A 25,483-nucleotide genomic window follows, 5' to 3' on the forward strand; every position below is an offset into this window, starting at 1 on the left:
CTGTAATGAATAGGTTTTCATTATTGTGGATTTGAAACAAACTTTTAAAAGCGTGTGTGTGTGTGTGTGTGTGCATGTGTGTGTGTTGGGTAAAGGATTACGGAGATTAACATTCAAAAGACAGTCAACAGAGAATAGTCCAGAAGTGGAAGGAATTTACGACTTAGCCTTAGAGTTTTCTCACGTTAATACCAACCTATTGGTAATGCCTGCCTGGAGCCCTGTTTCAGGAAGTATTGTGAGACCCGTTCTGAGTTCTACAAAGAAAGGGTGCTGTGTTGATTAATAATGTCTGTCCTGGCAGAGGAAAGGAGGGGAGCATATTAACTGCATAGTTGCTTTTCTTAGGACTAGAAGATTCACAGGAGTGCCATATTTGTTCATTACCACAGAGCTATCTCAGAGCTGCCAGCTAGGACTGAGAGGAAAGATCACACTGCAGACCCAGGATATTTAAATCAGAAAATAATTTTAACCGTGAAAACACAGGGTCTATGGGATTTATCCTCAGATGTAATAAGATAAGCCCACAGATGCGCTTAGGGGCTGAGATGACAGAAAGGCCACTTGGCTGAGAAACAGGAGGGAAAAAGAGCCAAGCAATATGGCTGAGAATTTGTTCTCCATACTGGTACAACAGAGCTTGGTAGATTTGCTATTTCTTTGGCTCAGCCTCATAGATTTTGGAAATGTGACTATTTATAGGGATTCTTATTTTTTTATTTCTTTCACTCATCCCTTAAAAGTTTTAAGCAAAGTCTACTTGAAAAATGTCAGCCTGTCTCAGGTGTGCTGAGAGAAAATTAAGTTTTGTCAGTGTTTAGTCAGAATATAAAAGGAGGGGAAAACTGACCTCTGGTGGTAAATTTGGAAAATCCCTAATACAAAGATTTCCAAAAAGTGATCCAGGAAGCATTAACCCCTCAATATTTTCTGTGGGAGAAGGGCTCTGTGGTAAAAATAACTCTGGGAAACAATTACATACTATATAAATATAATATATATTTATATGTTATATAATATATTTATAATATATTGTTATATATTACTTAATATACCTGTTTTTTTGGCAACTCATTGTGTTTAAGCCCTTAAGAATTCCTGCAGAAGAGAAACTATTTAATGCCTTTTAATTCAGCATTTTCTAAATCTGTTTGAATATAAACATGAAATATATTTTTAAAATTAACCTAACATTTTGGGAGACATGAACCTTAGGGAGAAGAATATAAGATCACGTTTTCCCCGTCCAATATGGAGAATTCCTTTCAGAGCTCTTCTCTGATAAAACCTTAGAACACTTGTGTTTTTACACGTAGCCTTCCCTTCCTTGTTCTCCTCCATGACTGTGTTTAGTAAGAAGCTAGGTAAATGTTTTTTTTTTTTTTTTTTTTTTTTTTTTTTGAGACAGATTCTTACTCTGTCACCCAGGTTGGAGTGCAGTGGCTCCATCTCGGCTCACTGCAAAATCCAACTCCCAGGCTCAAGCAATTCTCCTGCCTCAGCCTCCCAAGTAGCTGGGATTACAGGCATGTGCCACCACGCCCAGCTAATTTTTGTATTTTTAGTAGAGACTGGGTTTCACCATGTTGGCCAGGCTGGTCTCGAACTCCTGACCTCGAGTGATCTGCCCACCTCGGCCTCCCAAAATGCTGGGATTACAGGCGGCGTGAGCCACCACGCCCAGCCAAGAAGCTAGGTAAATGTTAAAGAATAATTTCCCAGTTAGAGACAAATCATTTACATATTTCAAGTTAACAAGCATCTACTGAAGAAAAGCTAGTAGCTGTATCAGTGCACTCAAGCTTTTCAGTTGTAACTATGCAGTAGAAATCTTAAAAAGGCCAACATAGTTTATAGATGACTCTTCTAATACAGAAGCTCTTCAGAGCTGGGAGTTGGTAAAACAGTGGCTCAGACTATTTTGTGCTCTGGAGCTATATAATTTTGGGGTTTGATGACAACCAGTTCTGCATCTCACTAGCTGTGTGACCTGGGGCATGTTACATAACCTCTCTGTTCTCAGTGATCTCATCTGTGAAATGGAAATCACAATATCTCCTAGTTCTGCTGGGGATTAAATGAGTTAACACTTGTAAAGTTCCTAAAACAACAAGTGTTAACTCTTTTAATCCCCAGCAGAACTAGGAGGTACTATGATTTGGCAGTTGGCTGGTAATTTGTTGCTTCTTAATTTGCACCACTAAAGTTAGGTGCATGAGGCATCATTTAAAAGGAAAATAGATTTTTTTTCTTTTAAAAATATTGTACTTTTGTTTTAGATCCTGAGACTACTAAGAAATTTTAACTGATTGTCACTAAAATGTATTATGGTGGTATTTTAAACTATTAACACTTTTTCTTTGGAAAAACCAGGAAAGTTTTCCTCTTCTTAACATTAAAAAACACTGTGGTAAAGTAGATAAAACAAAAATTCATCATTTAAACCATTTTTAAGTGTACAGTTCAGTGGTATTAAGTACATTCACATTGTTGTGCAACCATCACTCTCATCCTTCTCTAGAACATTTTCATTATCTCAAACTGAAACTCTGTGCCCACTAAAATGTAACTCCCCATTCCCTCTTCCCTACAGCTCTTGGCAACCACCACTCTGCTTTCCATCTCTATGAATGTGACTACACTAGGTAGCTCATACAAGTAAGATCACACTGTATTCATCCTTTTGCGACTGGCTTATTTCATATAGCATAATGCCCTCAAAGGTCATCCATGTTGTAGCATGTGTCAGGATTTCATAATACACACCATTTTGGCAGCTTTTTTCCCTCTGTTACTTAATACCTTTGAGAGATCTACCCTGACACTTTTTAAAGGTCAGAGTGTTCTATTAGATGGAAGTACCATCATTTATCCACTTCTCTCCTATCAACAACCATACAAATTGCACCCATAATTTTGCTATTATAACAATGCTAAAGTGAACACACTTGTGCATATATCATTTTGTATTTGTGCCAGTTTATCTGGAAGATAAATCCCTAAAAGTTATGTTACCTGGTCAATAAGAATGTGCATTTAGAATTTTGATAAGTATTGCCAAGTTAACTTCTAAAAATATTGCCCCTACTGGCATTCTCATCAACAGTATATGAGAGCCTTTTTGTCCATATCCTTCCAATGACGAGTATTTAAAATATTTTTTTGTCCTTGCCAGTCTCATAGGTGACGAGCATGGTTATTTAAAATAGATATCCCGACACAAAGAAAAGATAAATATTCAAGGTGATAGACATCCCAATTACCCTGATTTGATCATTACTCATTGTATACATGTATCAAAATAACATATGTATCCCTAAAACGTGCACAACTATGACATATCAGTACAAAATCCACACACATGAAATAAAACAGGTATAAGGGAGGACTTGCTGGTATGCAACGCGGGCAGAAGGGTGCTTGGGTGAAATTTGAGGGCATCAGAATCCTCCTCTGGTCTCTATTTGGAGACCTCTTCTTTTTTTTTTTTTTTTTTTTTTTGAGGCGGAGTCTCACTTACTCTGCTGCCCAGACTGGTGTGCAGTGGCATGATCTCTGCTCACTGCAACTTCTGCCTCCTGAATTGAAGTGATTCTCCTGCCTCAGCCTCCCAAGTAGCTGGGATTATAGGCATGCACCACCACGTCTGGCTAATTTTTGTATTTTTTTGTGGAGACAGGGTTTCATCATGTTGACCATGCTGGTCTCAAACTCCTGACCTCAAGTGATCCACCCACCTCAGCCTCCCAAAGTGCTGGGATTACAGGCATGAGCCACCATGCCCGGGCCTGGATGACTCTTCTTATTGATCCAAGGCAGAGAATGGTATTCTAGTACAAACGGGACTAGAAAGAGTTCTGCTTGGTACTATAATCAGGACTGATATTGAGTAGGAATGCACACATACAGCTATGCTTAGTTAAGATATTGACAATTCCACCATAGTGGTTGGCAACTGACCAGTCCCTGAGCCCCATTCTTGAATCCCAGCCACCTCCCCACAATCCAGCACCTCAAGGGTAAAACGTACTGCCACAAGAGGCCCTTTCAGACCCTGCCCAGCACTATGGGCAAGGCCTATTTAGGCTGATCCTTATTTGTGCTGAGAGGCTGTTAATAGTTTCAATATTGCTCCTGCCTACCTGGGTCTAACTTTTTGTAAGACTCCCTTCTATTTCTGAGCCTCTAGCACTGTTGTAAAGATGTTGTCTGTCTATTTCAGTTACAAGATCCTGTCTTTCTCATTCATTCTTTCACTCTCAAAATGTTTACTGAGTACCTCGTATATGGCAATTGCTGGACCAGGATCCCAGAATATTACTGTGAAGAGGGCAAATGCTGTCCCAGGCCTCAGGGAACTTATACACCAGGAGAGAAGGCAGGTGAAAAGTAACTGAAGAGACAAATTAATTCATGGTAGTAACGAGTGCTATAAAGAAAACAGGGAAGGCTCTAAAGGTGAGTTAATGAATGACTGACTTCTGCCCTCATTGCGTATCTGTGCATCCTCTCTTAAACCTACTTCAAATAATCAAGTTCAGCACCTATCAGACTGGCAAGGATGAAACAACTTTGGAATACTCCTTGTTGCAGGGATATGGAAAAATAGGCTCTCATATCCATTGTTGATGAGAATGACAGTAGGGACAATATTTTTGGAAGCTCACTTCTCAGAGGGGGCTCCTTTAGTAGAGAAGCCAGAGAAGCCCCGGTCTAAGACTTAAAGGAAAAAGATACAGGAACAAGGGAGGGAAAGAGCCAGGCTGCATTGTGCAGTGGGTGCAAAAAATCCAAGTGGAAAATCGCTGCTTGTGTTTTAGAGGGAATCAAAGAAGGCAAGAATGAGGACAGGGAGCTAAGGAGGTGAGGCTAGAGACAATGTCTGGGACCAGGTCAAGTCTAGCCTTACAGATTACAGCAAAGAGTTTAAGATGGTCTTATTTGTAACTTAAGAAAAGTACTGCATCATTTAAGTCTGTATTCTCCAATGCTTCTTAAGGTGCTTGAATCAAGGAGACAATCAATAAGAGTTTGTTTGAGAAGTACACTGAGCCCCTGTAGCTTTTTTCTATCTGTGCCTGGCACCCATCAGTCCTGTGACAGCTGCTTGAACAGTACAAATATGCCCAGAGTTAAAGAACTGATATCTTCCACTTGCCCAACATCTGTTATGCTCTTCCACATCTTTGCCCCTTTAAAACAAACAACTGAAATTTCCATCCCTGAAGTACACTTTACTCAATGATAAAATCAACCAATAATTACTGAGCACTTTTTATGGGCTCAGCATTCTTTCAAGTGCTTTGCCTATATTGACTCATTTCATCTACTGAGCAACTCTATAAGGTAGGTTTTAATATCACCCGCATTTTACAGATGAGGAAACTGAGGCAAAGGGAGATTAATCATTTTGACCACAATTATGCAAGTGGTAGGTGGTAGGGCAAGATCTCCAGAGTCGACGTCCTTGACTGCTACATCTCTCCAGCAGGCGCCAGCATGTGGATTTGCAATCTTACCATTGATTTCATCAAAGGAAGCATTTTGAGACATAAAATGCTGTTCCTAACTGTTGCACATTTTACTCACGTGCAGTTCATAGTTGTGCATATTTTACATCAATGTCCTTCAAACCGTTTTTGCCTGTCAGATATGAACTTCTGAGAGCATCTCATGAAGAAACATTTTGAGATCTCATCTGGTTGTGTTGCCTACATGCCTGGCAGTTTGGTTTCTATAGCATTGCTATCATTATGACAATGCTTATGCAACTGTTCAAATATTCCATCCCCCTCTTATTATATTATAAAAAAGCAGTGGAAAATGGAAAATAAAACGCCAGTACTGATACTAAGGATACAAAGCTCTCCCTTACTCCAATTAAGCTAAAGATGAAAATCATTGCACTTATAAAAAGAATCAATTGTTTGCTTTGCTCAGTTGTCCCCTGGACTTAAGCTGGTGAAGCTGTTCAACTGCAAATAAAAAGAAAATACTTTTATAAATGCGTGTATAAATATTGGAAATATAGGAAATATGTCTAAGGCACAGCACAATTAGTACTTTTTTTTGTTTATTTTGCTCTGTGGGAAAAGACCTATAAAATGTAAGCATATCATTCAACTTTGGGGTGTTTGACTTTCATTTGAAAGTAGGGGAGTAACTTAATTTATTAATTTTCTTCATCATTTGCTAGTAATGTAAATATTTTGTTAATATGCCATATCATATATCATATAACATCCTGTCCAAGCCCCGCTTGACAAGTCAATGTGTACTCACATGCAAACACACATAAACTCACTTTTCTATTCTATCTAACATATCAAAGAGTTCAGCATTTACAGAAACGTCAACTTACCTTTAACTAGTAAGTATTCTCTTGCCTTTCTTTTGTTTTTACTGTAATAATCTTCAGATTTTGTTTGCTATGCATAGATGTCATCTTTTTCTTTCATACACTCTTTCTTCTGGATTTCTCATCAAAGCCTGTAATACAGAAGAGAGAAGCTCCTTAATTTCTGTAGGCACAGGAGGAGAAACTATAAATCTCAAGTCAGTGACACTTCTAATTTATTTCTAATTTTCCCCTGGCTGACTACAGTTTAATCACAGTTTTAGAAATTCACCTAATTCCATGAGATTTAGAATAGAGTTCTCTCGAAATACAGATGAAATTGAGGCTAGTCTCCTTAACAACTAAAGAGTTCATACCAATTTGGCTTCTTACAGGATGCATGTCACTGAATACACCGTTTTAGACTTCTACTGTCTCTGTAGGAGGAGATTCTGAAGTGCTCAAAGTTATCTACACTCAGTTGCAAAATCAGGGCTGTCAAAGTGGGAGAGAGAACTCAGTAATACATCCCCTCCGAAGCCATGTTTCAGAGTTACTGAAACCAGAATGGCATTCCTGAATCTTTTTTTAACAGATGTCAGTGTGGCGAGAATGAAACACGTCATGAATACTGATGAAATCTAGCGTGCATATCACGCCATAAGATATCCTCATTTATATGTATTTCTCATTCTCCCTACTACAGAAAAGAAAACAGCTTTTCCCCCAGAAGCTCCACTTCAGTCAATAAGCATGCTTCTCCTTTGTCACTTGTGAGGTCACACTGTTTCACACACACCCAAGTGTAAAAACAGGACAAGGAGGGAGGCAGAAGTGGCAGATGTGGTATCCCTTGTTCTGCCATGTGGTAAGTGAAACTCTCTGTGGCACCATCCGCTTGGCACCTCCCCACACCACCTGCCCCTCCACTCCCCCTGGATGTGCAAGGCATCTAGGTGCAAGATGGCACAAGAAGCAGGAAGTCAAGGGGATTTCCTCACAAACACCTTTGCCCTCTCTCTCCTTCCTGATGCCATGGAACAAAGTCATTTTTCTAGCAGGAACTCCATATTCAAGGAGCTTAACTCAAATGAGAGCACAGAAAGGAGAAAAGGTTGAGAGTTTCCTACAGGCAATAATTTTTAGTACCCCTTTAGGAGGAAAACATGTTGGGCATGGATAGTTATGGTTTGGGTAGTACTAAGATCAGTATGAAGGATTCTCACACCCAGTTATCCTCTTGGTCCTCATGATCTCTCAGTGAAACATTAGGCAAAAAGAGGATACACTAGAGATGTGTTTTAGTCTAAGCCCCCACTTTACAAATAAGATAAATGAGGTACAGAAAGAGAGAGAGAAAGCAACTTGTAAAATGTTACACAGGGCAGAGCTGGCACTGGAATGACTCAGTACATTTTCTGCCTTATCACGTCATCTCTCCACATCTTTCTTGTGTCTGCCCGGCGACAAAAGCTCCTTGAGGGATTAAGCCCTGTAAACAATGATATACCAAGCAGTGTCTAATGTCACGTGCAAAGAACTAGTTAAATCCCTTGCTTCTTTAGTGGGTGTTAACAAAGACTACACAGCTGCTGTCAACTTGGATCACAAAGGCAGAAAAAAGAGAAATAAACAGATATCTTCTGGTTGCCTTCAATAGCTACTATTTGTTAAGTGTCCAACATAAGCCATATGCTATGCCAGGCACATCACTTGTATTCTGCTAATGCTTCTAGAAACTCCAAAGATAATATGGATGCTATTATACTAGGAATACAAGGAAACCAAGTCAGGGAAATAGATACCTTGTCTGAGGTTACACACAACTGGTTAGTTCTCAGATTCCATTCCTGCCGGCAACAAGCAGCACTATAAACCAAAGAAATATGCATCTACTTGAAAACCCCAGAACCCAGGAATAGAAACAAAGTGGACAGTATTTGGAAGGAAACTAAAGAGAGAAACAAAGGAAAACTGAGATTAGAGCATCATGGGAATCTATTCTACAACTATTAACATGCAGGAGGGATATGTTTTAAGATCTACGAACACACCAAATATGCAAATATAATTAAAGCACTTGACTCCACCTATAAAATTTGGTACAAGATACTTGTGATATTGGGTATCTGGGAATGAGCAAAGAAATGTTAAGATCTCAATGAGTTGGGGTAGATGAGTTACAATCACGCACTATATTAGTTTGCTAGGGCTGCCGTAACAAAATACCAAAGACTGCATGGCTTACAGAACAAAATGTATGTTCTCACATTTCTGAAGGCTTAAAGTCCAAGATCAAGGTGTCAACAGAGCTGGTATCCTCTGGGGCCTCTCTCCTTGGCTTGCAGATGGCCACCTCTTTACATGGTCTTTCCTCTGTACCCAAACACCCCTGGTACCACTTTTTGTGCCCATATTTCTTCTTATAAAGACACCAGTCACATTGTATTAGGGCCCATCCTCAAGGCCTAATTTTAACTTAATCACCTCTTTAGAGACCCTATCCACATGCACAGTCACATTCTGAGGTACTATGAATTAGGACTTCACTATATCAATCTAAGGGCTGGCCATAATTCAGCCCATAACACTCACCAAGTGACTAGTTCTGGTACCGCAGAGATGAAAATCCAGACACCTGAAAAGTAACAACCTATCATCAACCTTCAGTGTCATTCATGAAGAGCTGAAGCCCTCTAATATTTGAATTCAAGTTCAGGAATCTAAGGGTTTACTATAGGTTTTAGGTTAAAAAAAAAAAAAGGAGAGGAAGGCCATTTAATAAACCTTGGTCATTATGGTGTAAACCAAGCATCACAAGACTATGCTTGCCAGTTAAATATAGCATGCTGCATATTTTTCTAAATAAAGTTTTATTGGCACACAGCCATGTCTATTCATTTATGTATTGATTGTCTATGGCTGTTAGCGAGCTACAACTGCAGAGTTGAATAGTTGTAACAGAAACTCTCTGGTCCACAGGGCTGAAAATATACTCTATCTGGCCCTTTACAGAGAAAGTTTGCTGGCCCTTTACAGAGAAAGTTTGCCAACTCCTGGTTTAAACTGTGTTAATCAGGTTTCTTTACAGTAGGGCTTTTCAAGGTCTTTCCAATCTTCAAGGGGAAGATATATAGTAAAATTGCATCTTACGTGGGAGGTAGTTTCTAAAGTCAGTTCAAAGTGAAAACTGTGTATAGTCAAAATGAACACTGGAAAATCCCTTAGGGAAAGTGCCAACATAGAGCCCAGCAACTACATCATCATGAATATAGCCAGTTTTTCCTTCAAAGTTGCAACAGATAAAATTTTCTTCAAGCACTACATAAAAGGCTCTATTTATGGGCCATTTGTATAAAAAGGTGCATATCTTTAGATAACAGAATCACTCTCAGCATAAGAGACTTGAGAAAACTGAGACCAATCAAAGGACAGGAGATTCAGTTACCACCTCCTACTCACTTGTTGAATTTGCAGAAGTTATGTATGCACTGGAAATGACTCTACTGGAGTTTGCTTCCTTTCTCAGCTTACTTCACCAGAGAGTTCCCCTCCCTCACTATTCTTATCCCATAGAAACCTCTAATATATGCAATCTCTAATGATAAATATCTAATAATAAAACCTCTAATAATGCAATCAATATTCTGTGGAGCACACTTTGGGAAATGCTGAAATACTAAAAAACGTAGGTGTTACGGATCAATCAATCAGACGGAAATATATACAATGCTTTCTTAACACTGATAATAAAAAAACTGTAGGATAAACCACAATGAGATACCATTTCACACCTACTAGGACGGATATTTGGGGAATGAAAGGAAAATAAGAAGTGTTGGTGAGAATGTGGAAAAACTGGAACTCTAGTGCATTGATGATGGGATTGTAAAATGGTGCAGCCACTATGAAAAGCTGTTTAGTAGTCTCTCAAAAGGTTAAATATAGAATTACCATATGATCCAGCAATTCCATCTCTGGGCAGATACCCAAAAGAATTGAAAGGAGGGCCTTGAACAGATATTTGTACACCAGTGTTCATAGAAACATTATCCACAATTACCAAAGGTGGAAACAATCCAAATGTCCATCAGCAGATTAATGGATAAACAAAATATGGCATATACATAACATGGATTATAATTCTTTTCACCTTAAAATGGAACGAGATTCTGATATATGTTACAACATAAATGAGTCCTGAAAACATTATACTAAATGAAATAGGCCAGACATGAAAGGACAAATATTGTATGATTCCACTTACATGGAGTGATTAGTATCTAGAATAGTTGAATAGTAATTATTATCTAGAACAGTTGAATACACAGAGACAGAAAGTAGAGCAGAGTTTACAAGAGGCTGGGGGTACTGGGGAATGGGAAGTTATTGTTTAATGGGCATAGAGTTTCAGTTCAGGATGATGAAAAATGTTCTGGAGATGAATCGTGGTAGTGGTTGTTCAACATTGTGAATGCACTTAGACAGAGTCTTACTCTGTCGCCCAGGCTGGAGTGCAGTGGCACAATCATGGCTCACTGCAGTCTCAAACCCCCAGGCTCAAGCGACCCACCCACCTCAGCCTCCTGAGTAGCTGGGACCACAGGCACGCGCCACCATGCCCAGCTTTTTAAAAAAAATTTATAGAGATGAGGTCTCACTATGTTGCTCAGGCTGGTCTGGAACTCCTAGGCTCAAGCAATCCTCCTGCATCTGCCTTCCAAAGTGCTGGGTTCACAGGCATGAGCCACTGTGCCTGGCCAATTGTAATTTTTAAATTGATAAAATGGTAACTCTTATGTTATGTATGTGTGTATATATACATATATATAATATAAAATATATACACTAGTGTATATACTAGTATACTATTCATAGTATTATACATAACATACACTGTTATATGTAGTATGTATTATATAATATAATAAATATTAATTAAAATATATAATATGTACTATTATATATCAGTATATTATTTACAATATTTAATAGTATATTATATATACTATATAAATATATATACTATATATATACAGAGAAAGTTTGTATACATACTATATATACTATAGTATATATGTAGTATATATACTATATAAATATAATATATATAAATACATATTATATACAATACTATATAAAGTATGTATAAATACTATATATACTATATATACTATATTTATATATATTTATATTTTTATATATACTATATATATTTATATTCATATATAGTATATATACTATAGTATATATGTAGTATATATGTAGTATATATACTATATAATATATACTATTATTGTATAATATATATTATATATTATATATACTATATAACATATACTAATATAATACTACATAAATATATACTATTATTGTAAATAAAAGTATATATAATACTGTTATATATACTACTATATTATATGTAACTATATATACTACTATATGATATATAATTACATAATATATTATTATCTATTATATATAATATAATAGTATATACATATATACTGTCAAGATAGGGTCTCGCCCTGTCACCCAGGCTGGAGTGTAGTGGTGCGATTGTGGCTCACTGCAGCCTCGAACCTCTTGGCTCATGTGATCCTCCCACCTCAGCCTCCTGAGCAGCTGGGACTACACAGGCGGCATTACCACACCTGGGTAACTTTTAATTTTTTTTGTAGAGACAGGTTCTCGCTTTGTTGCTCAGGTTGTTCCTGAACTCTCGGTTTCAAATGATCCTTGGGCCTTGGCATCCTAAAGTGCTGGGATTACAGGCATGAGCCACTGCGTCCAGCCTTGTTATGAATATTTTACCACAATAAAAATATGTTCAAGACAAAAAAGGATATAGAAGCAAAATTGTAGGAATGGGGATGGGGCAGACTTAAATTATTTAGACATCACTTGAATGTGTCATTCTGCTAAAAATCTAGCTGTTGACAAATTCCTGGCTTGCTTAGGTGACAATTTCAATACTTGGAAGGCAGAGGATGCTACAAGGGGAAGTGTTCATCCAGGAAAACCTTTTGGGCAATAGATAAATGAAGCAAAAAAGTGGTCACACACTCTTGGAGTTCAAAGCAGTTGAGGGAGGGATGCTGGGGTCCTTGCCTGGCTCCTCTCTGGTTCCAGTACTGCCTCCCACCACCCAATCTCCATCCTCACCCTTCCACTCATCCCCATTCACTGTATATTCAGCAGCCAAAGTGGGGGTAAAATATGGAAATATACAGAAGAAAATGCAACAAACTCCTATCCATGCGCCCATCAGTCAAAACTAACAAACGTTGTTTTTCATATTTTTTCACATCCTGTCTTTACTCTTTTAAGTGATAGAACCACACAGAATTTATCTTCTATGTTAATTTCTCCAGTCCAATTCTTTCTTCATCTTCAGAAGCAACCATTATTCTGAATTTGGTAGATATTTAGTTCGTGTGCGTGTGTGTGTATGTGTGTGTGTGTGTGTGTGCATGTGTCCAAACATATTCTATGATTTTGTAATTTTAAAACTTTTTATAAAGAGTATTATGCTGCCTATTATATTTTGCTCAACATGGTTTTTTGCGATCTAGATTATTAACTGTTGCATAGTGCTCTGTCGTATGACTGAATTACAGTTTAATTCTCCATTTGTGGACTGATGGCTATTTGGGTAGTGTCCGATTTTTGTTATAACAAAGGATGCGACAGCACACATCCTCATGATTCTCCTTCTGTACAGAGGCCTCCCTGTTTAGTTGTGAGAGGTGTTTGGGGCACAACCTACATGAGAGTACATGGCAGTACTGTGTGGGTATATGCAGGAATTTCTCCTGGTAAATCTCACCTGGGGTGGTCCAATCCTCCAAGGTATTATTTGGAAATGTGGGAGAATCTTTCGTGAGATGGGGATGGAATGGGGCAGGGGATGCTAAATTTTGTACAGTGCATGAGAGTCCTAAATATTTTGTCCCCCACAAAATACCAAGAGTCCCTCCTTTGAGAAATGCTGCTGATTTCTGTCCCGAAGTAGAATCTTTGTGTGGTAGAATCTGTGTGTTTAGAAGTCTAACTAGGGAATGACAACTTGCTCTCCAAAGTGCCACCTGCCACAGCTCAGAGTGCCTGTTTACCTCAATTCTTTGCCAAGTCTCATTGTCAGCCTTTTGAATTTCTGCTATTGTGACGGGCATAAAATGCAGTTTCATTATGATTTTTAAACTTGCATTTCCTGCTTTTATTAGCACTGTGGAAAACCTTTTCAATTTTTACTGCTCATTCATGTCTCCCCCTTGTGGAAGTGCCTGTTAATAAGCTGTCTATTTTTCTATTGGGTAGTTTAAATTTCCCTTTTTGATTTGTAGGAGTTCATTAGAGATTCTGGAAACTTGCTTTTGGTAGTTATTTGGGGTTGCAAATGCCTTCTACCAGTTTGTTGTTTGTCTTTTTATTTTATGGTGCCATGTTATGCAGAAGTTATACATTTTGATATAGTGAAATTCATCCAAACTTGAGTGTGACTTTTGAGACTCTAGTTTATAAAATCTACTTTATTCTAAGATTCCTTTCTCCCCATCTAAAGGTTTTACATTTTTATTTCTTATATTTAAGTTTTTAATCCATCTCACAATTTATTCTTGTACAAACTGTTATGTAAGAATCTGATTTTTTCTTCTTACAGGCTATCAGTTGTAACAATACCATTTACTTTTGATACTGTGTTTTCCTCTGTAACTTCTAAAGCATCCTATATCATATAGAAAGAACCATATTTGTTTAGTTCATCATTGGGCTCTCTTTTCTGTCCTATTGATCTATTTTTCAATTACCCTTCACCAGTAATACTGTCTATGGCTTTATAATAAATTTTGATAGAGGAACTCCTAATCTTTTATTCTTTCACAAAACTCCCTTATTAAATTCTTGAATGTGGCTGGGCATGGTGGCTCATGCCTGTAATCCCAGCACTTTGGGAAGCCAAGGCAGGTGGATCACTTGAGGCCAGGAGCTTGAGATCAGCCTGGCCAACGTGGGGAAAACCCATCTCTACTAAAAAAAATACAAAAATTAGCCAGGTGTGGTGATGCACCCCTGTAATCCCAGCTACTTGAGGGGCTAAGGCACAAGAATCGCTTGAACCTGGGAGGCAGAGGTTGCACTGAGGCAAGATCATGCCATTGCACTCCAGCCTTGGCAACAGAGCAAGAGACTCTGTCAAAAAAAAAAATTCTTGAATACTTACATTTGCATTCATATTTCAGAATGCTGGGGATTTTGCTTAGAACTACAATGAATTTGTAAATACTCAACATTTCATGATATTGATCTTCCTTTCCACGTATATGGTATATCTTGTCATTTCTTTAGCTCTTTTAAAAATAATTTACAATAACCTTTTTTTCCTGAAGCAGATGTATATTTTCTTAAAACGTACTCTGAGTTTCTGAGTGGTTTTGAGCTCTGGAGTGATTTTTTTGAAACCCAAATCTGAAGATAGCAAATCATCCCTCCCTGAATGTAGCTCCCCTGAGGCTTTCTGTTACACTAAGAATGAAATTTGAACTCCATACTGGAGCATGATTATAGGACATGGTTTCCTATCTTCCTCCTGGACTTTTATTGTATGTTCTGTTAGTCATTAAGCTTTAGCCACAGTGGTTTTCTTTACTTTTTTTTCTAAGGTTAGTCAAGTGAGGCAGTGAGAGTGGAGTGGTTTTCTTTATGTACTCAAACATACCAAGCTAATTTTATTTTGGGACCCTTGTCCTTGAGGCTGTGTTTTTTCTGGAATCTTGTTCCCCAGATATGCATATGGCTAGTTTCTTCCTGCTGTTTGGGCCTCGGTTCAGATGTCTTCTCTCAGAGAAACTATCCCTGCCCACCAGAGAGTAGCCCTCCAACCATCCGTAATGACATAGCTTCTTTATTTCTTCACAGCACTTGCCACAATTTGAATTTATCTTCTTTGAACTCTTTATTGGTGTATTATTCCCCACGATATACTATAAGCTCCACATGATTGAGGACCTTGCTGCCTTGTTCTTTTCTGTGTCCCCAGAACCTACAGCAATTCCTGGCACATGGCAGCTGTTCAGTGAATATGAGCTGAATGGATAACTGAGTGGAAAAATGAACTCACGTGGATCTCCCCTAATGCCCCTGGTTGCTCCTCCTGTGTCCTCTTATATCAACAAAGGGGTATTTCCTTTCTCCCATATATTAGCAGTAAATAATGATGTAAGACATTTCTAGTCTCTTGAACAAATAGTTTAACTGCAGAAATACTTACAAAACGGATTCCAAACACATTTATGTTCTGCATTCCAGGTTTCCAAGTGGCTTAGAACAGTGAAAGTGCCACTGTCTATTCGGCCCATTTCTACTCCTAAGAGATAGCTATTAAGTTTATTTGCATAAATCCAGAAACCATTTATCCATTTACAAATCTCCAGCTATCTAATCTATCTCAGATTACACAATCTGAATGATTCACCAAAGAAGTTTCTTTTTTTTTTTTTTGAGATGGGGTCTCACTCTGTCACTCAGGCTGTGATGCAATCATAGCTTGCAGCCTTGAACTCCTGTACTCAAGCAGTCCTCCTAACTCAGCCCCCTGAGTAGCTGGAATTACAAGTGCACACCATCATGCTCAGTTAATTTTTAAATTTTTTTTAGAGATGGGATCTCACTATATTGTCCAGGCTGGTCTCAAACTCCTGGCCTCAAGTGAACCTCCTGCTTCAGCCTCCCAAAGTGCTGGGATTACAGGCATGAGCCACTATGCCCTGCCAATAAGTTTTATTCTATTGAAAAATTGTTATTTTTAAGTGAATCTGAGTTTGTTAAGAAGGCAGATTGTCAATCCCACTTCTAGAGGTTCTGATTCCACAAACCAGGGGTGGGGCCTTCATTTTCAACAAGCACTCTAGATCATTCTAACATAGGTAGTCCAAAAACCACTTATGAGAAATACTCATAAGTGAGTATTTATGAGTATTAAATACTAGGTTAAGGCAATTTAATGCCATCCTTATTTAAGATGATGCAGCCTCCCAAATACTAGGGGGCAGATGGAGCCATACGTGCACCCACTGACGTCCTATGTCATGTCCTCTTTGCCCAAGAAGAGGGCATTGCGGATCCATGTGCCTCCACTGAAGCCCTGACAACCAGACCTGCTTATGAAGCCACATAAACATTATCAGGGCAACAGCTCAAACAGGCAGTGAGGAAATGGGTTCTAGACTCTGAGTGGCTTTGGGCCAGTTTCTTCATATGCACAATGAGAAGGTGGGCCAGTGTGATGTTATGATAGAATAAGAAATCTGTTTGTTCTTCCCCAGTTCCTGGCAAAGAGCTTCTGAAATTCTTGTAACTTCGGAGTGATTGGGGTGAGAGAAGCATCTTTTGTTACTCATAATAAGCCCCTTTCAACCACATCTGAGTTTATGTTAATGAGATGGCTGGGGGATTCCAGCCCCACACAGCTTCAGGGTGGGGGCTGGTTGCCAGAGGAACCAACCATGTGATTACAGGGTTGGAAATTTCAGTCCCACCCCCTGACCCCCAGGGAGGGGAGAGGGGCTGGAGGTTGAGTTCAGTCACCAGTGGCCACAATTTACTCAATCATGCCTAACTAATGGAACCTCCATAAAAACCCTGAACAATGGGGTTTGGAGAGCCTCCTGGTGAATGCATTCACTTTTTGGGAGAGCGGCACATCCCAAACTCCACTGGCACAGAAACTCCTGCTTTTTGGACCCCTCTGGACTTTATATATACATCTCCATCTGGCTGTTTGTCTGTATCCTTTATAATATCTTTTCTAATGAACTGGTAAGTGAAGTGTTTCTCTGAGTTCTATGAGCTATTATAGCTAATTGTCAAACCTGAGCAGGAGGTCATAGGAACCCCTAATTTGTAGTTAAGTTGGTCAAAAGTGCAGAGGGCCCAGGACTTGCAATTGGCATCTGAAATGGGGTAGTCTTATGGGACTGAGCCCTTAACCTGTGAGGCCAAAACCACCTTTGCAAAATTATGACAGTAAGAGAAATCTGACACAGCCAACTCCATCTTGCTTCCAGCAACACACACTTGCTGTCCTCACTCATTCCTGGGTGTAGGCCAAGCTAACTTTCAAAGGAATTTGGTTTATAGTTTAAGCTTAAAGCAAGAATGATAATAGCCCTTCTGCAAACTAAACTGCCTTTGTAAAACTAATGAAAAGCCACAAGGTTAGGATTACAAGAGGGCCTGAATTCTGCTAAGATGTAGGCACAGTTAAAACAATAACCAGCCATTGTTCTGGAGCTCACAAGATCTGTAACTTCCCCAATTACTCCTGTAGATACATCACTATTGTAGAACCCAAGATTGGTCTTTTGAGATGTTTTTCAGACTTTTGCATTTTGATGACTAACTTCACCCATACCAGGGACTCAGCTGGACCTGTGGCCCCCACCCAGAGGCTGACAGCACACGAGGACCATTTTCCACACCCCTCTGATTTCATCTCCCATCCAATCAGCATTCCCCATTCCCTAGCCCCCTGCCCACCAAACTATCCTTGAAAAACCCTAGCGTCTTTGGGGAGACTGATTTGAGTAACAGCCCCAATCCTTCTGCTTGGCCAGCCTTGCATTAATTAAACTCTTTGTTTACTGCAATAATGCTGTCTCAGTGAATTGGGTTTATCTGTGCAGCGGGCAAGAAGAACACATTTGGGTGATTACAGTATCTGATGCTAATTTCAGGTAGATTTTGTGAAATCAAAATTGAACTGAATTGAATTGAGGACATCCAGTTGGTGTATGAGGAGTTGGAGAACTGACTGCTTAGTGTGGAAAATCCACACATTTGGTATCAGAAGTGTTGTGATTATTGACATAAAGTTGTTTTTTTCTTTCAACCACATAGTTATAAAAGTGCATTCCAGCTCTATCATTTTATGAGACTTCAACATCTCATGGATTTCTGTGTGATTAGGTTACGCCTGACTCTCACCCCATACCTTCCAAATTTTCTAGGAGGAACTTATATCATGTTTGTAATGGAAAAGAAAATAACCAAAACATTTTAAAAGATAACATTTCCCATTATTACTCAAACAGGATTTTCACAAGCTAAGATGATTGCTTCTGTTTCAGTGCTATGTTCACTACTCATCTCCACGAACATAAAGAAACAACAAAATCTCTACACACACTTATCCACCAGATTGTTTTAAACAATTTTCAAACTTGTTTTAATAGGCAAAACTGGCTCTGTAATGCTAAACTAGATGTAAATAGCCCAAGGATCCAATTTCAGCCAAAATCTCATACCACGTGGAGAAATTAAGCAATTCTTAAATATTTAATAATACCCTGTAATTTTTTAGACTCCTGGGCTCCAAAATTTCTGACAAAGTAATTCCTATGCCACAATTAATAAAAATAGACAACCTTCCAAAAAGTCTCGCAAAGCAAAAGTAAACTCCTCCGAGCACTCCCGCTGCGGTCAGAGTGATGCATACAAGTGACATACCCGCCAGAAACGACAGCAGCCAGAAAGGGTTTGGAGCTTGCCCTGAACGGGTGTCTGCTGAAAAGGCTCATAAAAAGAAGGTTGTGATTAGAAGATCATGACATTTCCAGCACCCACTTATTAGCATGTCTGGAGAATCACAGAAGGGGGACGATGCAGTCTTTATAACCAGAGTTCACGTCACAGGATATTTACAAATACTGCTATTCCAGTCTTCGGAGCAATTCGGTCTCTGCTCTAACAGCAGACAAAGAGTGCAGACACCCTAGCCAATCACTCCAGGTGGCCTCCTAAGAAAGATTCCTGCCAAACCTTGGCTGCTCAGGCCATAAACCTGTATATTCTTCCTCCGCATCATCCCACTTCTCATTCATTAAACCCCCTGCTTAAAACTCCTCAGTGACTTCTGATTTTACATAGACTAACACTTAAACTCCAGCTCCTATGTGGATTCCTATCTACCTCTGAAATCTCATTTCATGCCAGTCTTCCCTTCACTCTCAATACACCCCACATTGGCCTCCTTTTCCCACCTTACTGGGTCAAGTCCATTCTCACTGCAGGGACTTGGCACTTGCTGAGTCACTGCTTGGATTGTTATTTCTCTGGATCTTCACATAGCTGGCTCCATCTCATAATTCGAATTCAACTCGCATGACCTTCCCAGATCACTATATCCTAAATAGTATTAAGCTACGTTTGTGTTATTCTCTACTCCTGTTTATTTTCTGTCTGGTCCTGAAATTACACTGTTTATTTGCTTGCTGGCTTTCTTGTCCCACTAGAATTTCACCTCCAAGAGGAGGGAGATATTGCTTTGTCCTGTTCACTGCTACATCCTCGTAGCCTGGGACAATGCACATAGTAGATACTCAGTGACTATTTGTCAAATGAATGTATGTGTTGATTTATTTATTTATTTATTTTCTGAGATGGAGTCTGACTTTGTCACCCAGGCTGGAGTGCAGTGGCGTGATCTTAACTCACTATAACCTCCGCCTCCCAGGATCAAGTGATTCTCCTGCCTCAGCCTCCTGAGTAGCTGGGATTACAGGCATGTACCACCATGCCTGGCTAATTTTTGTATTTTTCGTAGAGACGAGGTTTCCTCATGTTGGTTAAGCTGGTCTCGAACTCCTGACTTAATGATCTGCCCACTTTAGCCTCATAAAGTGCTGGGTTTGCAGGCGTGAGCCACCGTGACTAGCCTACAAATTTTTTTATTTTTTTTCTTGAGATGGAGTCTCAATCTGTCATCCTGGCTGGAGTGCAGTGGTGCGATCTCAGCTCACTGCAACCTCTGCCTCCCTGGTTCAACTGATTCTCCTGCCTCAGCCTCCCTAGTAGCTGAGAATAAAGGCACACACCACCACACCTGGCTAATTTTCACATTTTTAGTAAAGATGAGGTTCCGTTATGTTGGCCAGGCCAGTCTCGAACTCACCTCAGGTGATCAGCCCACCTTGGCCTCTCAAAATGCTGAGATTACAGGCGTGAGTCACCCGCGCCAGGCCATGTGTTATTTTAGATTAAGTTAGAACCCAATTTTCAATGTTCTCCCTCTACTCAGAGTTAAAACTCAATTTGTTGCTTGGAAGACAAGTTAATTTGCAGAAGACACATATCTCACTCTCTGTGAATATCCTCATTGTCACCCCACAACTAGTTTAGAATCTCTGACATGGAGCGCATTCCTCTGAAAACACAAGACCCTTTGGAGACATCAGTCAAATGAAATTTAAGCCTCATTGACAAGCTAAGATGACTCTTACAGTGCTTCTTGAGGGAATGATTGTGTAGGTAGTGACTGCTGGAAGTGAAGGGCTCAGAGTCTGAGTGGGTTGATCCACATGTCACACAGATTGAAGCAGGTAGAGTTTTTTTTAATGCTAGGGAAATTTTGCTGAGATACTCTGTGTTCTAGCCAGGCATTCAGTATAGGGGTGGTTCATTTGGGGCTCAAATAAGAGGATCAACTAACTGAAGCTTTAAATGGGTATCAAATGAAGGTAATTCCACTCTGACTTGCACAGTGAGCTACAGAGTGGTAGTGACAGCAAATTTTCTAAACAGTATCATAATTTATAAGTCTCTTTTACATACTCATCATCTCTTTTGTTTCTTAGGGAAAATCTGTGAGGTTGGCCAAATGTAGTTATTGTACCTATTTCATATATGTGAAGATGAGACTCAAGATCCCATAATGAGTAAATAACCAGAACCTTGATTTGGAATCAAGATCTTATAAGATCATCTTCTAGACATACTAATGTACCAATAACAGAGATATTGAAGAAGGCATTTAAAAAATCAACTTTTTTGAGGTATAACATATATACACAATAAAATATTCCCATTTTAAGTGTGGAGTTAAACAGATTTTGACAAATATATACACTCTTTACCCACCACCACAATCAAGATATGGAATATTTCTCTTTTTTTGAATAAATTCAGGAGATACATGGGAAATTTTGTTACAAGTATATAATGTGTAGTGATCAAGTCAGGGTATTTAGAAGATAACAAAACATTTTTCTCTCCGAAGAAGTTCCTTTATATCCCTTTGTGCTCATTTCTCTCTCTTACTTCCTGCCCTTCCCTTAGGAAACCACTGATCTGCTCTCTGACATTACGTATTACTTTTTCTAGAATTTCACATGAATAGAATCACATAGTCTGAATTTTTTTGTGTCTCTGGCTCCTTTTGGTTTGCATGATGTTTTTGAGATTCATCCATGTTATAGCACATATTAGTAGTTTGTTATTTTGTATGGTTTCATTTTATAGTATTCTATTGTATGGCTATATCACAATTTATTTATCCATTCACCTTCTGATGGACATTTGGATTCTTTCCTGTTTGGATTATCATAAATGCCACTCTCATGGACATTCCAATACAAATCTTTTTTTTTTTTTTCGTTTTTTCAGACAGAGTCTCACTCTACTGGCCAGGCTGGAGTGCAGTGTTGCGATCTCGGATCACTGCAACCTCTGTTTCCTGGGTTCAAGGGATTCTCGTGGCTCAGCCTCCCAAGTAGCTGGGATTACAGGCGTGTGCCACCACACCTGGCTAATTTTTGTATTTTTAGTAGAGACGATGTTTCACCATGTTAGCCAGGCTGGTCTCGAACGCCTGACCTCAGGTGATCCACCTGCCTCGGCCTCCCAAAGTGCTGGGATTACAGGCGTGAGACACCACGCCTGGCCCCAGTACAAATCTTTTATGGGCATATATTTTCATTGCTTTTCAGTAAATACTCTGGAGTGGAATTGTGAGATTCTATGATCAGGGAATTTTTAATTTTATAAAAAACTGAGATCTATGGTCTAAAGTGGTTTTACCATTTTATATTTACACCAGCAGTGTATGGGAATTCCAGTTGCTCCATATCCTCACTGATACTTGCCATTGTTAGTCTTTAAATTTTAGCCATTTTAATAGCTATGAAGCAGTTGGCATCTCACTGTGATTTGAGTTTGCACTTCCTAGATGACTAATAATGTTGAGCATCATTTTCGGGGGCTTATTGCTCATTTGTATAACTTCTGCAAAGGGCAATTTGAGATACAAGAGATACAAATAATTTTGTGTCTCGTGCAAGCGTTTACTTTATTGTAGAAACAATTTTGAAAAAATGCAACCTGGAAAAAAATTATAAAATATTCAGACTATAAAGAATAAAGAAAACTATAATATGGTTAGAATGTCCACATTTTTATTTTTTCTTTAGTGTATATTCCTTGAATTTTTTTAGTATACATTCATGTAATGCTCTAACAAACTGGGGAGGCTGAGTTTTCAGGTAGAAGCTAGCAAAGAAGGAAAAGGCTTTGCTCTCTTTATTTCCATTCCCTAGACTTCATTTTGTAGACGATGGGCTCAATTATTCACAGCATCTTTTTATATGTAGCCTCGTAAAACTGTAAGGTGAATCATTACAAAATTAATATTCAACAGGCTTTATATAACTCTGCTTAATTCAATGCATAACTCAGATTTTTATCACCCCAAGGCCTCTCAAGATCTATAAATGCAACCAACTTAATAAGATACCATGTATTTTAACTCTAACATTACCTCAGCGACCTCCATACTGCACAACCACTAAGTTTAGACTAGATAACCAAATAGACATCTATGACAGAAATGAACTGTATTTAAAATGTCAAGTCCTGCATGAAGACGTGCATGATGACAACGAAGATTGTGTTCTAACACATTTGTTTTGAGAACCTTACAGTTTTGACTTTAAAAAGGAGCTTATTTTGCTTCCAGAGCACTAAGCTACAAGTATTTTGTGCCACATAACCCAAAAGAGTTGACTCTTAAATAATCATCATTTGCCAGGAGGTGAAAAAGCGGATGAATGCATCTAGATATTATCTCCTAGCCCCCATTCAAATAAATGTGTATAACTTCCATCCTAAAAGGACTCTTACAGATCATCCAGTCCTATGATCACATTTTCTGGACAAGGAACCAAGGCCCAGACAAGTGAAATTATCAGCCTGAGGTCAGACAACCAGCTAAAAAGACTGAGTGTGAAATCCAGGTCTTCTGAATCAGATTCTAAATTCTTAGTCTTGTGATTTTTTTTTTCCCCTAAGGCTTTTGTTTTGTTTTGTTTTCAATGGTTATACAGGTTCAATGCAGAAATTTTGGAAAACCCAGAAAAGCACAAAGAAAAACTGTTAGACCAATTTTTAACAATTTAAAATTGTTAATCTCCATACTTTAAGACAATCACTCAAACTTTTAGTAGGGCACTATGATACAGAAACTAAGAGGGCTGCTTCTGGAGTCATATATTTGGCTTCTTATCCTGACTCCTATGCTTGACAAGCTTGTGGGCATGGAAGTTACTTTACCTTCCTCAGCCTCAGTTTCCCTGCCAGTAAAATGGGGAGAACAAGGTTCCTCAGCGTCAGTTTCCCTGCCAGTAAAATGGGGAGAACGAGGTCACTGATTTCTCAAGGTTGTGAGAATGAGGTGAGATGAAATTTGTAAAGCATCTCATACAATGCCTGCAGACAATAATCATTAGCCATCATGATTATATACTTTCAGACATTTATTTATGTTCACGTTTTTATGCTTTAAAAAAGTAAACCACTTCAGGCCAAATGTCGTGGCTCTTGCCTGTAATCCCAGCACTTTGGGAGGCCCAGGCAGGAGGATCACTTGAACCCAGGAATTATAGATCAGCCTGAAAAGAATTAGCCAGGCATCATGGCATGGGCCTGTAGTTTCAGCTACTTGGGAGACTGAGGTGGGAGGATCGCTTGAGCTCAGGTTCATTCCAGCCTGGGTGACAGAGTGAGACGCTGTCTCAAAAAAAAACAAAATAGGCTGGGGGTGGTGGCTCACACCACTAATCCCAGCACTTTGGGCGGCCAAGGCAGGCAGATCACCTGAGGTCAGGAGTTCAAGACGAGCCTGTCCAACATGGGGAAACCCCGTCTCTACTGAAAATACAAAAAATTAGCTGGGCATGGTTGTACGTGCCTATAATCCCAGTTACTCGGGAGGCTGAGGCAGGAGAATCGCTTGAACCCAGGAGGCGGAAGTTGCAGTGAGCCAAGATTGTGCCATTGCACTCCAGCTTGGGCGACAAGAGTGAAACTCCACCTCCAAAACAACAACAACAACAACAAAACCCCAACAACAAAACAACAACAACAAAAAATGTAAGCCAGTTCTGTGGCCTTTTTCCATCTGATGGTACATTTGCCATGAAAAGTCATTTTCTGATGGCCTTCCCACTAAACTAAACTTTCCCAGAAAAGTCCAAATTTAAACAGTTATCTGAAGAGCCACACACTGGGGCTCTGACTAATAAGAAGAAATTCCCACAACCCAGCTAATATCTCGAGTTTTAGATTATGTACAAGGCTGCGGCCATATCCTAATGATGACTTCTAGCAGAGCTTCAGAAAGAATGTGGCTCCCTCCTTCCACTCCGAGCCTCTGCTTCTCAGTGCTTCCAGGAACCAGCAGGGCCCCAGGGACCTTTCCACATCAGGGTAATATCAGAGGATGATGTGTGATTTTATCATAGCCAGGGTGGTGATTTCCAAGTAAAGTAGGGATGGTTTTTGAGAATAAAAACTGTCCTGCTGCGATCTCTTTTCTTCCTATCCTGCACCAAAACAAACAAACAAACAATAAACCACTACCTACATTTGTGAGACTCCAGAAAGAACTGTTGGCCTGGCAATGATCAGTGACTGATGGATGATAGCTGTAGGAAGTGCTGTGATAAGGTTTATGAAGCTGTAGCCTGGATCAGTGGAAGAATATATTGTGATTGATCAGCAATGTCTGCAGTGGAAGGTGGAAACAGCACGGTGGTACACAGGCCATGGTGCTGTCCTCCCTGGTCTATTTTAATGTCTTCTCTTTATAGGTATGAAAAATAAGGTTTACAGCAATGAGGTATCATGGCTTATCCACCCACAAGTGCAGAGACAGAACATGGCAAAGCTGAGACTAGCAACCATTCCTTATGGTTTGTAGCTCAGCAATCCTCTCATGCCAAGATGCCTTTCTTCTCTGGTGGGTAAGATGGTTTACTTCTTATAACCACTAGGTGGTCCTGGCATGTTACAACCTATTCAGATCACTTCCAT

General features: G+C 39.3%; 1 protein-coding gene across 5 annotated transcripts in view; it reads right to left on the bottom strand.

Moving 5' to 3' along the window:
* The window catches only part of FRMD4B (FERM domain containing 4B), a 373,805-nt gene that overhangs the window by 257,488 nt on the left and 90,834 nt on the right, over positions 1-25,483 (bottom strand). For 4 of the 5 annotated variants that reach the window (XM_017005993.2, XM_047447767.1, XM_047447769.1 and 1 more), the window contains exon 2: positions 6,365-6,492. The gene's annotated coding sequence lies outside the window, so the exon portion shown is untranslated. Of the gene's footprint in view, positions 1-6,364; positions 6,493-8,935; positions 8,979-25,483 lie in introns of all 5 variants that reach the window. The other variant, XM_047447771.1, reaches the window with a different exon arrangement.

The sequence above is a fragment of the Homo sapiens genome, chromosome 3, assembly GCF_000001405.40.
Source record: "Homo sapiens chromosome 3, GRCh38.p14 Primary Assembly".
NCBI lineage: Eukaryota > Metazoa > Chordata > Mammalia > Primates > Hominidae > Homo > Homo sapiens.